Below are 13649 nucleotides of genomic sequence, written 5' to 3'. Positions count from 1 at the left end.
AGTGCTGGGATTACAGGTGTGAGCCACCAAGCCCAGCCTAAAATTCTTTTTTTAAAAAATCTATAGAAATGTTTACCTCTGGGTGTGTGTTAGGGGAAAGGGGTTACGTTACAGGTATTTAGAATGTCCTAAGGTGTTGTAGGTTTATTAGCAAGTAATAGATAACAAGTAGCAGAGAGACCCCCACCTTAAAGAATACAGAGCCTCATCTCCAGCTCTACTCACCCAGTCCCATCTCCCTTACCTGCTCTTCTTTTCCTTTTCCCCACCATACTTACCCTCCTCTAACATGCTATTATTTCACTTATTCTGCTTATTGTCTATTTTCTGTCTCCTTCTCCCTGAGGACAGGGATTCTTACCTGTTTTATGCGCTAACGTATTGTGAGTGTCCAATACCATGTCTGGCACATGACAAGGCACTCTGTCAATATTTGTTGAGCTCAATTTAATCAACTCTCATCCCTGGAAAGAGCAGGGTTTTGATGAGGTGGGGAGTCATTCTGCTTAATGATGTCATGCAGGACATAGCTCTTTATAACTCTATTTTTTTTTTTTGATGTTGGCTCTATCCTAAGTCAGCCTCCTTCTGTGATTCCTAGATGACTCTTGCTTCTTATTCAAATACACCAAGAGGGAGAGAGGAACTTCGTCTTGTATTCCAAAGCAGAGATCCTGAGACTCACACTGAACAAATGGGCTTAGGTCACAGTCACTGTGGCCGGGGTTGATAGAACGTGCTGATGGCTTAGCCCAGGCCACGTGTTCCCTTCTTGCCACTCAGATGGAATTAGACTCTCAGGTATCATACGTATCCCCAAACAGAAATTGAGGGGCTGCTGGAGAGGGAAACATGGAGAATGGATGTCCACATTACTCGACAAGCAAGAACAGGTTAATCGGTTAAAAGTTTACCATTACAGGCCAGGCGCAGTGGCTCACGCCTGTAATCCCAGCACTTTGGGAGGCTGAGGCAGGTGGATCACCTGAGGTCTGGAGTTCGAGACCAGCTGACCAACATGGTGAAATCCCATCTGTACTAAAAATAAAAATATTAGCTGAGCATGGTGGTGGGTGCCTGTAATCCCAGATACTTGGGAGGCTGAGGTAGGAGAATCACTTGAACCTGGGAGGCAGAGGTTGCAGTGAGCCAATATCGCACAATTACACACCAGCCTGGGCAAAAAGAGCAAAACTCCTTCTCAAAAAAAAAAAAAAAAAAAAAAAAAGAAAGGAAAAGTTTACCATTACAAGCAAGCAAACAGAATTTGGAAAATCCCCTCCCAATTCTACCTAGTTTATGTCACTAGAGATGAGGTTAGACTCAGTTTAGGAGGCTAGACTGAGTTAATATTCTTTGTGGGACAAATTTGAGATTTCCTAAGCGTGGGAGGAATCTCCTAAGAGAATTCAGGAGAGAGCAACCAAACAAGATGCTGACCTTAAGAATCAAGAGATTGTTGCCTCTTCACTTTTCCTGTGGATATAACTTACCAGAGTTTACTTGGTGGGTACACCAGACACTGCTTCTTCTTCATCTCCAGGGATTTATTGTCCCAGTTAGGCAGCCACGTAGAGAGGCTGTGAGTTGCAGCCCGTGGCCAGGAACACAGGCGTTTCCCCAGGCGGCTCCTGCCAAAGTGGAGATTGTCCCCTAGAGAGGCCCACTCTGATAACTGGTTCCTCTCCATGCCCTTCCCCATCCCTGTATTACTAACCCAGTGCTCACCCCCTGGTGGAATACTGTTTAATTTGGCCATCCGTCATTCTATAATGCAGGGAATGGGTTGCTACCGGTAGGTCCTGGGAAGTGGTGCAGTTTCCTGGGTTATGCATGAAGTTGGCCTATCTGCCAGAGAGGGTAATTCCATCCCCAAGATCTTAGGCTCCTTTCTTCTTCTCAGCATAAAGGAAGCACTCTCATTTTCTAATACCTCAGCCTAAGAAAGTAATAGAGGTGATCATTATTTTCATGACCACAGCTGGCTCCTCAGAACAGTATTGTTCCTTTGGAGCAGCATTAATTAATCAGCCATGACACTCTCTGAGGATGAAATATGACCACCTTTCCATGCATGCTCTAGGCCCTGCCTGCTTTGCCAACTCCATTTCTCTCCCATTTCCCTCCCCGTTTTCCTTTCCATTTCAGTCACACTGGTCTTTAAGTTGCTAAAATAATCCAAAGTCTTTTCTTCCTTAGGGTCTGAAACTGCTCGGATTCAAATTCTGCCTTCACCACTTAGTAGCTGTGTGACAAGGGCAAGTTACTTAACCCTTCTGTGCTTCATCTTATACCTCTGTTAAGCAGGGTTAACAGTAGTTCCTACATAGGGTTGTGTTAGGATTAAAGAATATAACATGTGTAAAGTTCTTAGAATGTTACTGGGTCATAGTAATGTCTCAAAATATTAACTCCTCCTCCTCTTTGTACCACCCCCATCCTCCCCAATAAATTTCTTCTAAAAACCCCTCCCCTCCCTTTTTCCAAGTCTGGATTTCTAATATGTCCTATTAATAGTTATTATTATAAACTGTCATGAGCTTGGAGACCTTTTCTGACCCTCTGATCGAAAGTAGCTCCTTTGTTATTTTCTCTCACACCTCTCTGCCTGTTTCCTTCATAGCACTTATCTCAATTTGTGGTTGTGTATTTATTTGCTTTTATTTCTTGGTCATCATCTTTCTCCATGACTAGGCTGAAAATTTCATGGTCAGAGTCCTTGGCGGTTTCACTCATCCCTGTGCACGTTGTAGGCATCTACACAGAGCAGGCAATCAGTACATATTTAAGAATGAAAGCCTACCTCCTCTGAGCAGTCAGCAGCCTACAAAGGGAAACTGAAATTCTGAATTCGAACTCTGTAATATACTGGAGCAGAAGCCACATTGCTGGGCATCAGTGCTGGGTGTCCTCATTGTGGTTGGCATGAGGGGGTAGGGGAAGGAAGCGCTCCTCCTACTTAAAAGAGAATGCCGTGTCACTTGGACATCTGCAGCTTTCCTGAGCCTCAGCTGTGGAAGTACATGGAAGGGGCAAACAGGAGACACTGCTGGCCAGCCAGTGGCCAGGAGAAGCCATGGGCCAGCTTAGAGGAGGGATGTTATGCAGCAGTACCTGGGAGACACCTTGTAGGGACCTCAAGAAATATTTGAAAGATACCTTACAGGGTATTAAAGGTCCACCATCCCCAGGCTATGGAAAAAACCAGGGAAATTTGAGTTGGGGTGGTTCCTGTTATCTGTACAGTCTGGTAAGGCCAGGGGAAACTTGAATGACAGTATTCATACTATCATGGCCAGGACTCAACCCCGTGCACAGAGTTGACAGAGAGAAATATTCCAGTGAAGGCCCATACCAGTCACTGGGGAAGAAAGAACAGTTATCAATACTCCCATATCACTACCTGTGCAGCCTCCACCAGAGGCTTTGACCTTAACAGGCTGCAGGGAGTATTGGTGGGGAAAATGAATCATTTTCTTTCTTTTTTTTTTTTTTTGAGACGGAGTCTCGCTTTGTCGCCCAGGCTGGAGTGCAGTGGCGCGATCTCGGCTCACTGCAAGCTCCGCCTCCCGGGTTCACGCCATTCTCCTGCCTCAGCCTCCCGAGTAGCTGGGACTACAGGCGCTCGCCCCCATGCCCGGCTAATTTTTTGTATTTTTAGTAGAGACAGGTTTCACTGTGTTAGCCAGGATGGCCTCGATCTCCTGACCTCGTGATCTGCCCGCCTCGGCCTCCCAAAGTGCTGGGATTATGGGCGTGAGCCACCGCCCCCGGCCCGCTCTAATTAGTTTTGAGATTTCCAGCCTCCTCTAGGTGATGGCTGCTTGAGGCTGATTTTTATACTGGGTTTTAGAAATGATTCTCTACCAGTAACCAAAACAGCATGGTACTGGTACCAAAACAGAGATATAGATCAATGGAACAGAACAGAGCCCTCAGAAATAATGCCGCATATCTACAACCATCTGATCTTTGACAAACCTGACAAAAACAAGAAATGGGGAAATGATTCCCTATTTAATAAATGGTGCTGAGAAAACTGGCTAGCCATATGTAGAAAGCTGAAACTGGATCCCTTCCTTACACCTTATACAAAAATTAATTCAAGATGGATTAAAGACTTAAATGTTAGACCTAAAACCATAAAAACCCTAGAAGAAAACCTAGGCATCACCATTCAGGACATAGGCATGGGCAAGGACTTCATGTCTAAAACACCAAAAGCAATGGCAACAAAAGCCAAAATTGACAAATGGGATCTAATTAAACTAAAGAGCTTCTGCAAGCAAAAGAAACTACCATCAGAGTGAACAGGCAACTTACAGAATGGGAGAAAATTTTTGCAATCTACTCATCTGACAAAGGGCTAATATCCAGAATCTACAATGAACTCCAATAAATTTACAAGAAAAAAACAAACAACCCCATCAAAAAGTGGGTGAAGGATATGAACAGACACTTCTCAAAAGAAGACATTTATGCAGCCAAAAGGCACATGAAAAAATGCTCATCATCAGTGGCCATCAGAGAAATGCAAATCAAAACCACAATGAGATACCATCTCACACCAGTTAGAATGGTGATCATTAAAAAGGCAGGAAACAACAGGTGCTGGAGAGGATGTGGAGAAATAGGAATAATTTTACACTGTTGGTGGGACTGTAAACTAGTTCAATCATTGTGGAAGTCAGTGTGGCGATTCCTCAGGGATCTAGAACTAGAAATACCATTTGACCCAGCCATCCCATTACTGGGTATATACCCAAAGGATTATAAATCATGCTGCTATAAAGACACATGCACACATATGTTTATTGCGGCACTATTCACAATAGCAAAGACTTGGAACCAACCCAAATGTCCAACAATGATAGACTGGATTAAGAAAATGTGGCACATGTACACCATGGAATACTATGCAGCCATAAAAAAGGATGAGTTCGTGTCCTTTGTAGGGACTTGGATGAAGCTGGAAACCATCATTCTTAGCAAACTATCGCAAGGACAAAAAACCAAACACTGCATGTTCTCACTCATAGGTGGGAATTGAACAATGAGAACACATGGACACAAGAAGGGGAACATCACACACCAGGGCCTGTTGTGGGGTTGGGGGAGGGGGGAAGGATAGCATTTGGACATATACCTAATGTTAAATGATGAGTTAATGGGTGCAGCACACCAACATGGCACATGTATACATATGCAACTAACCTGCACGTGGTGCACATGTACCCTAAATCTTAAAGTATATAAAAAAAGAAATGATTCTCTACCTAGAAGCGAGCCAGAGAGAAGAAGTATTAAAAGCAAATGAGCAAATGCAGCTGAAAATGAACATGTACTTCATGGGAATTGGATGGAATTAAGCCAACGTGGATGAAATACACTTCATATCGTGAAAGGATAGATCTAAAAGTGGTGTGTTTGCCATGAGCAGTCCACATAGATATTTCATCTCAAACAGTGTCTTGATATTTAGAGATGAGCATTCTCAGTACTTAATGGAGGGCACTATACCAGGGTTGGCACTAACCCAGCCCATAACTTTTGAGCCATAGTCCCTGTAACTGTGTCATCAGCTGGTTTCATAAGAGAACATGCCTAAACCTGCTCAATCCTTGGCTGGGGATGCTTTCAGGAAAATCCAGGGTGCTGTTGAAGTTTTGTAGGTGACTCAGGTAGTGGAATTCTGCTTTTGAGTCAAGACAGAATTTTAGCTTTGCCTGGTTGGGGGTTTAGTCACTGGAACTAGCCCTCTAAGGTCATATTGAAGAAGGCAGAAAAATTGTCTACAGAATATGTTACCTTAAAAGGTGATTTCTTCTTAATTGAAAGATTCACAAGATTTTTCCTTATGATTCCACATTGATTTTAGTTGAAGATGTTATTACTCACCTCCTTTCTAGGAATAATAGGTTCAGCCTTAGAGAATGACCATCATATTTCCATAGTAATCCAGAAACAACTACGATGTCCAAACCCTATGACAGGGTCTTCCTAAATGAAAGCCAATGGAGAATCTTGGAGCAATTCATTCTAAATAATTGGTGAAGCTTTTCCTTAATAAAAATGCAGAGCTTTCCAATTTAATTCAATAGTACTAGATTCCCACTCTACATTACTGAGATTTTTAAACTGTTATAAAATGAACATTTGAAGAGCACCCATATATCACTAGGCCTTATGAGAAGAAAAAAAAAACCTGAAATCTTCTATTTAAAGAAGACATGTAAACATACCTACAAGTGCAGATCCAATTTCTCCAAAACAGGATGCCAAGAATAACTTCATTGAATGTTGTAAAGATACAACCCTAATCAATGCATATCCTTTTTTATTTGGGGCTTAAAAGTGCTGATCTAAAATGTTAATGGATACATTTATTTCTCCAACACAAATCCATAATATCACCAATCCAGAAAGATTGGCATAAAGAAGTTGGCTATACACATGCTAGTTATTATTCAGCTAATAGATGTCTGTGTCCTGTTTAGAATCCCCAAATGATCTGTAAATTATTACATTGAGTTTAGATTATTATTTCTATGTTTAGCCAACTTTTTATCCAAATACTGATTACTTTATTAGCATATTAAGTGGAAGTGTGTTAAGCCTGCTTGGGCCAAATAGTGAAACCCTGTCCCAAAAAAGAAAAAATAAATAATAACTAAAAACAGGCTAGGCATGGCGGCTCATGCCTATTATCCCAGCACTTTGGGAGGCTGAGGTGGGAGGATTGCTTGAGTCCAGAATTTCAAGGCTGCAGTGAGCTATGATCATGCCACTGCATGCCAGCCTGGGCAACAGAGCAAGACCCTGTCTCTAAAAAGAAATAATAATAATAAAAACAAACAAACCTAAAAACATCAGATGAGACAGGCTAGTGTTACTGTTCCTTTATCTTCTTTTAATGAGAATGAATTTAAGCCCCCACGTAGCAAAATAATATACAAGATATTTGCAGAAGGCAAAAGTGCCCTCCAGACTCCTCTAACTTTCTAGACGTTGTTTATTCTTGAGCCTCCAACTTCCCCATTATTTTGCTCCAATGACTTCCCCAATCCACAAAGTTTCCTTATTTGTATTTTAAACCCATCCTCTCTACCCTCATAGCTCCTTTCCTGTAATTTTGAAATTCCTTTTCAACTCTACTTGCATCATTTGGATTCCAGAGTACGCACTTGGTCACAACCGTTTGCCTTACAGAAGACATCCCCGAAATGTGGCTGAAAGGAAGAAGACCCTTGACGAAAGGGGTTGCCCGGATAAATGATTCATTGCCTAAAAGGATAGACTTTTTAAAATGTCATTTTTATTTTGGAATGTAGGAAACTGGTTTCCCTGTCTCTTGAAGCATCATCACAGAGGCATAAACTGAGGAGCAAAGCTTATAACTGAGAGGTTTTAAATGAACAGGGTAGGGGAAACAAACAATATCCCACCAGGAGAGAGGTCTGATAGCTCAAGTCTGTCCTTTCCTCTCCTGGTCGCCTCACACGCAGAGGCAGCCTCACTGAACGTGCTGTGCAGCAACGACGTGACTCACGGTCAGCTAACAGAGCAGGAAGTCACCTGACGACAGATGGGAAAGTCCAGAGTAGACTGAACGTACTTTTTAAGAAAAGGAAATAAAGAAGGCAATTTGTAGGGCTGTGTCACAAGGTTAGAAACCCCAATTATATTTGATAGTTCTGTGCAAGGCACTAGCCTGGGAATGCATTAATCTGTATATCAAGTAATTACTACCATATTTGGAAGCTAAGTAAGTAGGTCTCAGTCATTAAATAAAGAGCAGCATTCTTGATTGGAAGGATGAAATTATGCAATAATCACTGGCTTTGGTTAAATAATAAATTAATTTCTGGGGTCTTGGCAGGGACGGTCACATGCCGAATTGTGAAGCAGAACATTGGCTTTGTCAGTGTGGTTGTCCGCTTTGGGGAGTTCTTCCCTTTTCCCAGAGGTTTAGGGAGAGAAATTGAAGTGTTTTAGTTAATCAATAAAACCAGAAATATATGAGAACTTGTGTGCCAAGTCTGCAAGGGAGTATGGGGCAAATGGACAGGAAAAGATCCTTGAGGAGCTCTATCTAGTTGGGGGCAACAAGATGTAAGCATTTGGAAAGGTAAGTAAGAGTTTAAGAGTTGTTTCAAGGAAGAACATGATGGATTACAAAATAGCAATGTCAAGAGGATGTGTTGTGGGCATTCAGAGAAAGGGGAGTTTAGTGTGGGCAAGGTAGATAAGGGAAGTTTTTGGGCAAACAGTGGATCTAGAGCTATGCTACACTTTTAAAGCAGAAAGAATCTATAGATAAGTAGCAAAGTCCAAATCAGTTATCCTAGGAATGGCAGCAGGCAAGCAGATATTTGAATGGGCTGGTGGTGCAGGTCCACAAGTCTAAAGATCTGGGTTAATCTTTGTTGAGAAAGACTGTTGAACAAAGGTGCCTCTATTTCCTCATCTGCAAAATGGGTGCAAAATACGTCCAACCTGCCATCCAGGTTAAATAATTCTGTGAATCTCAGTGTAAACTATAACTCACGTAATAACCTTAAGCTATTGTTAATGGTAACGTACGTACGATGATTTTAGGAATATAATTTTGCGTATACAGATACTGCTTGACTTTAAGGACTAAAATGGTAATTTAAACAGCCATATATAGGTTATGAGGAAGAGTTCGAGGTAGGGGTGCTAACTGTAAATATCAAATTGCAACATGCAGGTGACCAATGAGCACTTGCATCAGCTTGCTCTGGGGTCTTGCTAGAAGCAGGATGAGGACATTTGTTTTTAAAATATTCTAACTAATAAAGGTATTTTCCTTTCTTTTCTCTTTCTTTCTTCCTTTCTTTCTTTCTTTCTTTCTTTTCTTTTCTTTCTTTCTTTTCTTTCTTTCTTTCTTTTCTTTCTTTCTTTCTTTTCTTTCTTTCTGTCTTTCTTTCTTCTTTCTCTCCTTCCTTCCTTCCTTCCTCCCTCCCTTTCTCTCTCTCTCTCCCTCTTTCTCTCTTTCCTTCTTTCTTTCTTTTTTTTTTTTGGAGTCTCACCTGTCTCCCAGGCTGGAGCACAATGGCGCGATCTCAGCTCACTGCAACCTCTGCCTCCTGGGTTCAAGAGATTCTCCTGCCTCAGCCTCCTGAGTAGCTGGGATTACAGGCACGCGCCACCAAGCCCAGCTAATTTTTTTGCATCTTTAGTAGAGACAGGGTTTCACCATGTTGGCCAGGCTGCAGGTATAATCTTTCTAAGGATCTTTTTGTTTTCTCTGGCTGTGAAGATTGTTTGCTCTCAGTGTCCTATATGAACATTACATGTTTAATCTGAACTTACGGAGCTTGCACATTGCATGGTATACAGTAAGAGCCTAGTATTGAATGGGGAGCCCATAATAAAGAGCACATATATTGAATGGGGACGTTTTCTAGATTTAAGACACAATCTGGTAATCATTGCTTTTAATTTGGGGAGTGGGAAGCATTTTTTTCTCTTAACATATTGATAGGAAACTAATTGATGTATTTGTAGTGGGGTCAAAATTCACACATATGAATCACATGTGCATAAATAAAAAATAAAGAAGTGCATCTTTATTTTCCTTCACTGAGCTCATCTTGCCCGGAGCCCCTGTTTTCATTGACAGCAGTGTCTTGACAATTTCCATTCTTGACAATTTTCTTGACAATTTCCAGTCTTTCTGGGCTAAAATAGTTCTTTGGGGGTAAATATTCAGTCCATTGAAAGTTGAAACCCTCTTCCAGGGCAGTTTCTCCCCTCCCAAGAGTTCCTCTCTTCCTCCTTCTATTCCTAGGTGAGAGAATTGTGGGCTGGCAGAGAGAGGAGGGGCTCTGACCTTGTGTTGCCCTCTGCAGACTCATGGCTTCTCCTGAGGAGCCTGCTCTCTGAGCTCTGCTGTACGCAGAGGAGTGATTAGCCCCATGCACCTCAGGTGCTGAGCTGGAGTTCCTGGCTGATGTCAGGGGCCTGCTTACACTGTACGTGTAGGCCTGGACTCTGCACCCTGTCCCCATCTACTCGGACGGTCCTACTTGCACCTACATCCTCCCTCCTGCCCCCACCCCATCCTCCTGTTGCTGTCTTATTTCTATATTGCAGCACGTGAGACCGTGGGAGTTGCCCCAGGCTGGTTCTCCAGTTCTAGATGACTGGAAGTCTGTGAAAGACTGGCTGTTTTCCTGGCTTACACTGTGCTCACAGATTACCCCCAGACCTCTCTGACTGCCCTATGATGGCCCTTCCCCATCTTCCTCCCTCTCATTCGGCTCCTTTCCACAGCCCAGGAAGGCTGCCGTGGGGCTGTCGTGGGGGAACCCTTCTGTGGCCAGTGCTGTCCATACCTACCCCTTGATCGGCCCCCAGCATTCAGCTCCTCAGACCACACAAGTGTCTTTTTAAATCTTTTTTTTTTTTTTTTCTGAGTAAAGCATGGCCTCTGCAGAACAGTGGTGTATGCTTGCAGGCTTTAGTCTACCTGTAATTTTCTAAGACCCATTTTTACACGAAGAACAGTAATGGCTCTCATTCTCACTGGATTCTGCCCATTAGTTCAATAGGTAATGACATATAAGACAATTAGGGAAAAGGAATCACCAGAAACAAATAAATATTTACTTAATGCCTCAAAAATGTTATTCCTGTTACAAATGTTTAAAGCATTTTGGTAGCTGTGACACATTTGTGAAGTGGGTGATGGTGACATCAATTCTTTGATTGGGAGGGGCTTGATCATTCATTCTACAACTTCCATGTTCCCAGGTTATGAGTCACTCACAAAATATTTATTCAGCAGCTATTTCATTCCAAACATGGGAGAAATAAAACCATGTTTCAATATCCTTGCATGTTACTACATGTTGTTAAACATGCTTCAGGTAAACTACCCTGTATAAAGATTAATGGGACAGGGATACAGGTGGACTTTTAGGAGCCCCAAACAGTGCAATAGCCTGAGAAGAAAGCGAAGTAGAACCTTGTAAGAGCAGTGCACCACAGTTTGAAGCAAGAAGTGAACAGTCTAGAAACAAAAGAAAAAGGGCTTTTCACCTGCAGGGACCAAAGCTGAACCCAAGAGGCTCTGGAGGAGCAACTGGATGGAAAGAGCGAGTCCCAGAGGTCCATCCTGGAAGGAAGGGTCAAACCAGGGCAAGGAGGGAACTCCCATACCTTGATGCAGTGCCAACCTTACCTACATTGAATCAGATGATTTTGTTGCTAACCGGTCCAATTTACAAAAGTATGTTTTTCTGCTGACTTCTTGGACTCTCACTGTTTTGCTTCTCGCCCTGCCCCTTGCTTTTATTTTTTACTTCCTTTGTTTTCTAGAACTGGTGAATATTCAGGGAGATTTGAATGGAGACTTAGAAAGCCTGAGAAAGTTAGAGCTGGGATTCAATGTCTTTGGACACGGTTATCCTTTCCACTTGGATAACCCATCGCAAGCAGTTCTAACAAAAACCATGCACATGTGACATGAAGTCTATACCTTTTCTTGCTTAGATACAGCAATGCTTCACCAGCCCATTGGGAAATACTAACTGACTTTCTACCAGCACTCTGTTAGTAAACAGGACTAATAATTTCATTCTGGTGATGTGAACCAGGTGCTAAACTTCAGTTGTTTCACTCACAATAGACCTAATATGGGGGAAGATATTTGTAAAGTTTGTGGTTTGAAAGTCTTCGTCACTTAATTGCAAGAAATTAATCATAGGCCTGTTAGTTACAATAGTCTGTTCTCGCATTGCTATAAAGAAATATCTGAGACTGGGTAACTTATAAGGAAAAGAGATTTAGTTGGCTCACAGATCTGCAGGTTGTACAGGAAACATAGCAGCCTCTGCTTCTGGGTAGTCCTCAGGAAGCTTCCAATCATGGTGGAAGGCAAAGGGGGAGTGAGACATCTCACATGGCCAGAGCAGAAGGAAGAGAGAGAGGGGCAGTTGTTATACACTTTTAAACAACCAGATCTCATGATAACACATGACCACAAGAATAACACTGAGGGGATGTTGCTAAACCATTTATGAAGAATCCAACCCTGTGATCCAATCACCTCCTACGAGGCCCCACCTCCAACACTGGGGATTACAATTTGACGTGAGATTTGGGCAGGGACACAGATCCAAACCATATGACCTGCCTTGTCCAATCCAGTAGCCACTCACTTTGTATGGCTATTTAAATTTAAATTAATTAAAATTAAATTAAGTGAAAAATTTAGTTCTTCAGTCACTCTAGTCACATTTTAAGTGCTCAATAATCACATGGGGCCAGTGACACTTTATTATGTTGGGCACACAGTATTGGGCAGTAGGGGTATAGAGAATTTACATCATTGTGGAAAATTCTATTGAATGATACTAGTGCAGATATTTGTGCAAAAGTACAGCTAGAGGAGAGGAATGGTTCAGGATCTTTTTTGTTGTTTTTGCACAGGTACCTTGATTCCTAGTCCATTCCTCTTGCACTTACACTGCAGTATCTTCTAAGAGTTGAGGAGAAGATAAATGATGAATGATGAGTTAACTGCCTCCAAATTAACACCAGATAAGTTATTTCCACTAAATAATTTTTAAACCTAAATAGACTAAAATTATTCCAGAAAGGCACTTCAACTGTGCTTGCACCAAATGATGGTATCAATAGTTTTGCGCAGTCAGTTTATGCCATTGAGTTTTTTCTCTAAGATGAGGTTTAGTTACAAAGATGCTTTAGGATCATTCTTTTAGAAGAAGTGTGTCATTGTGACAAAAATGTAGGTACAGATAACACAATGAAAATTATGAGAAAATGGCAAATGTTGCAGGGCAAACTAGATACATTGTTGGACAGTGGGAAATATTCTAAAGCACAAAGAATGAATTATGCAACCAGTGAAAAGCAACACATACATATACTGCTCAACAATCAGTAATAGAAGGAATAAAAATCTGATGAAATGGGGAAAAATATATCATATGTCTTATATATGCATGTGTGTGTATGTGTGTGTGTGTGTGTGTGTGTGTGTGTGTGTGTGTGTATCTCTATATATCAAATATATATATATAGAGAGAGTTGGGTCAATCGTAGCAAATGTGAGTGTCAGCCATACTCTTGAGTACATGCCTGAGGTCCAGGCCATTTCCCCCACTAAGATATAGCAAATCAGGCAAGAAGTGAAAGATTTCACAGCGACTTCCTGGAGGGCCATATCATGATAACCATCCAGACCCTTGCTAGACTGGCCTTCTGCCAAAGGAAAGGAAAGCAGGAGATTCCTGAAGGCCAAAGAACGCCCGCCAGGAACTGGGCTTTTGAGAAGCCGAGAGGTCAGATCAGCCTATCCTCACATTATTCAGTGACGTCAGCAACAATTCACTGGGGATTTTTCCAAGGTTACAAGCTTCCTATGATCCCTGTCTTGGAGACCTTGAAGGCAGCTTTTGACCTTGGCAGCCACGTAGTGGTGGAAAGTATTGGAGGGATCAGTGTCAAGGCTTTGCGTTTGGCTTGTGGTAGCAAAAATCAAATAGGGTCCACCGGGTCTCCCAGCCAAGGCAGGTAGCCTACAGTTAATTTAGGAGAAGTCTAGAGTGCAGGTTTAAAAGTCCAAAGTTAAGCATGGAAAAATGTGACTAGGGTTT

General features: G+C 42.1%; 4 annotated features.

Moving 5' to 3' along the window:
* Positions 2875-2964: an enhancer, noted in NCBI's record as "active region_25149". NCBI's record gives its function as "activates an Ori minimal core promoter by ATAC-STARR-seq in GM12878 lymphoblastoid cells {active_cell/tissue: GM12878}" and the evidence as "EXISTENCE:reporter gene assay evidence [ECO:0000049][PMID:35858748]".
* Positions 3295-3344: an enhancer, noted in NCBI's record as "active region_25148". NCBI's record gives its function as "activates an Ori minimal core promoter by ATAC-STARR-seq in GM12878 lymphoblastoid cells {active_cell/tissue: GM12878}" and the evidence as "EXISTENCE:reporter gene assay evidence [ECO:0000049][PMID:35858748]".
* Positions 7288-7407: an enhancer, noted in NCBI's record as "active region_25147". NCBI's record gives its function as "activates an Ori minimal core promoter by ATAC-STARR-seq in GM12878 lymphoblastoid cells {active_cell/tissue: GM12878}" and the evidence as "EXISTENCE:reporter gene assay evidence [ECO:0000049][PMID:35858748]".
* Positions 7438-7697: an enhancer, noted in NCBI's record as "active region_25146". NCBI's record gives its function as "activates an Ori minimal core promoter by ATAC-STARR-seq in GM12878 lymphoblastoid cells {active_cell/tissue: GM12878}" and the evidence as "EXISTENCE:reporter gene assay evidence [ECO:0000049][PMID:35858748]".

Source organism: Homo sapiens, chromosome 6 (genome assembly GCF_000001405.40).
Source record: "Homo sapiens chromosome 6, GRCh38.p14 Primary Assembly".
Classification (NCBI taxonomy): Eukaryota; Metazoa; Chordata; class Mammalia; order Primates; family Hominidae; genus Homo; species Homo sapiens.
The sequence above is the reverse complement of the archived record's forward strand: the minus strand, read 5'-3'. Positions and strand labels throughout refer to the sequence as shown.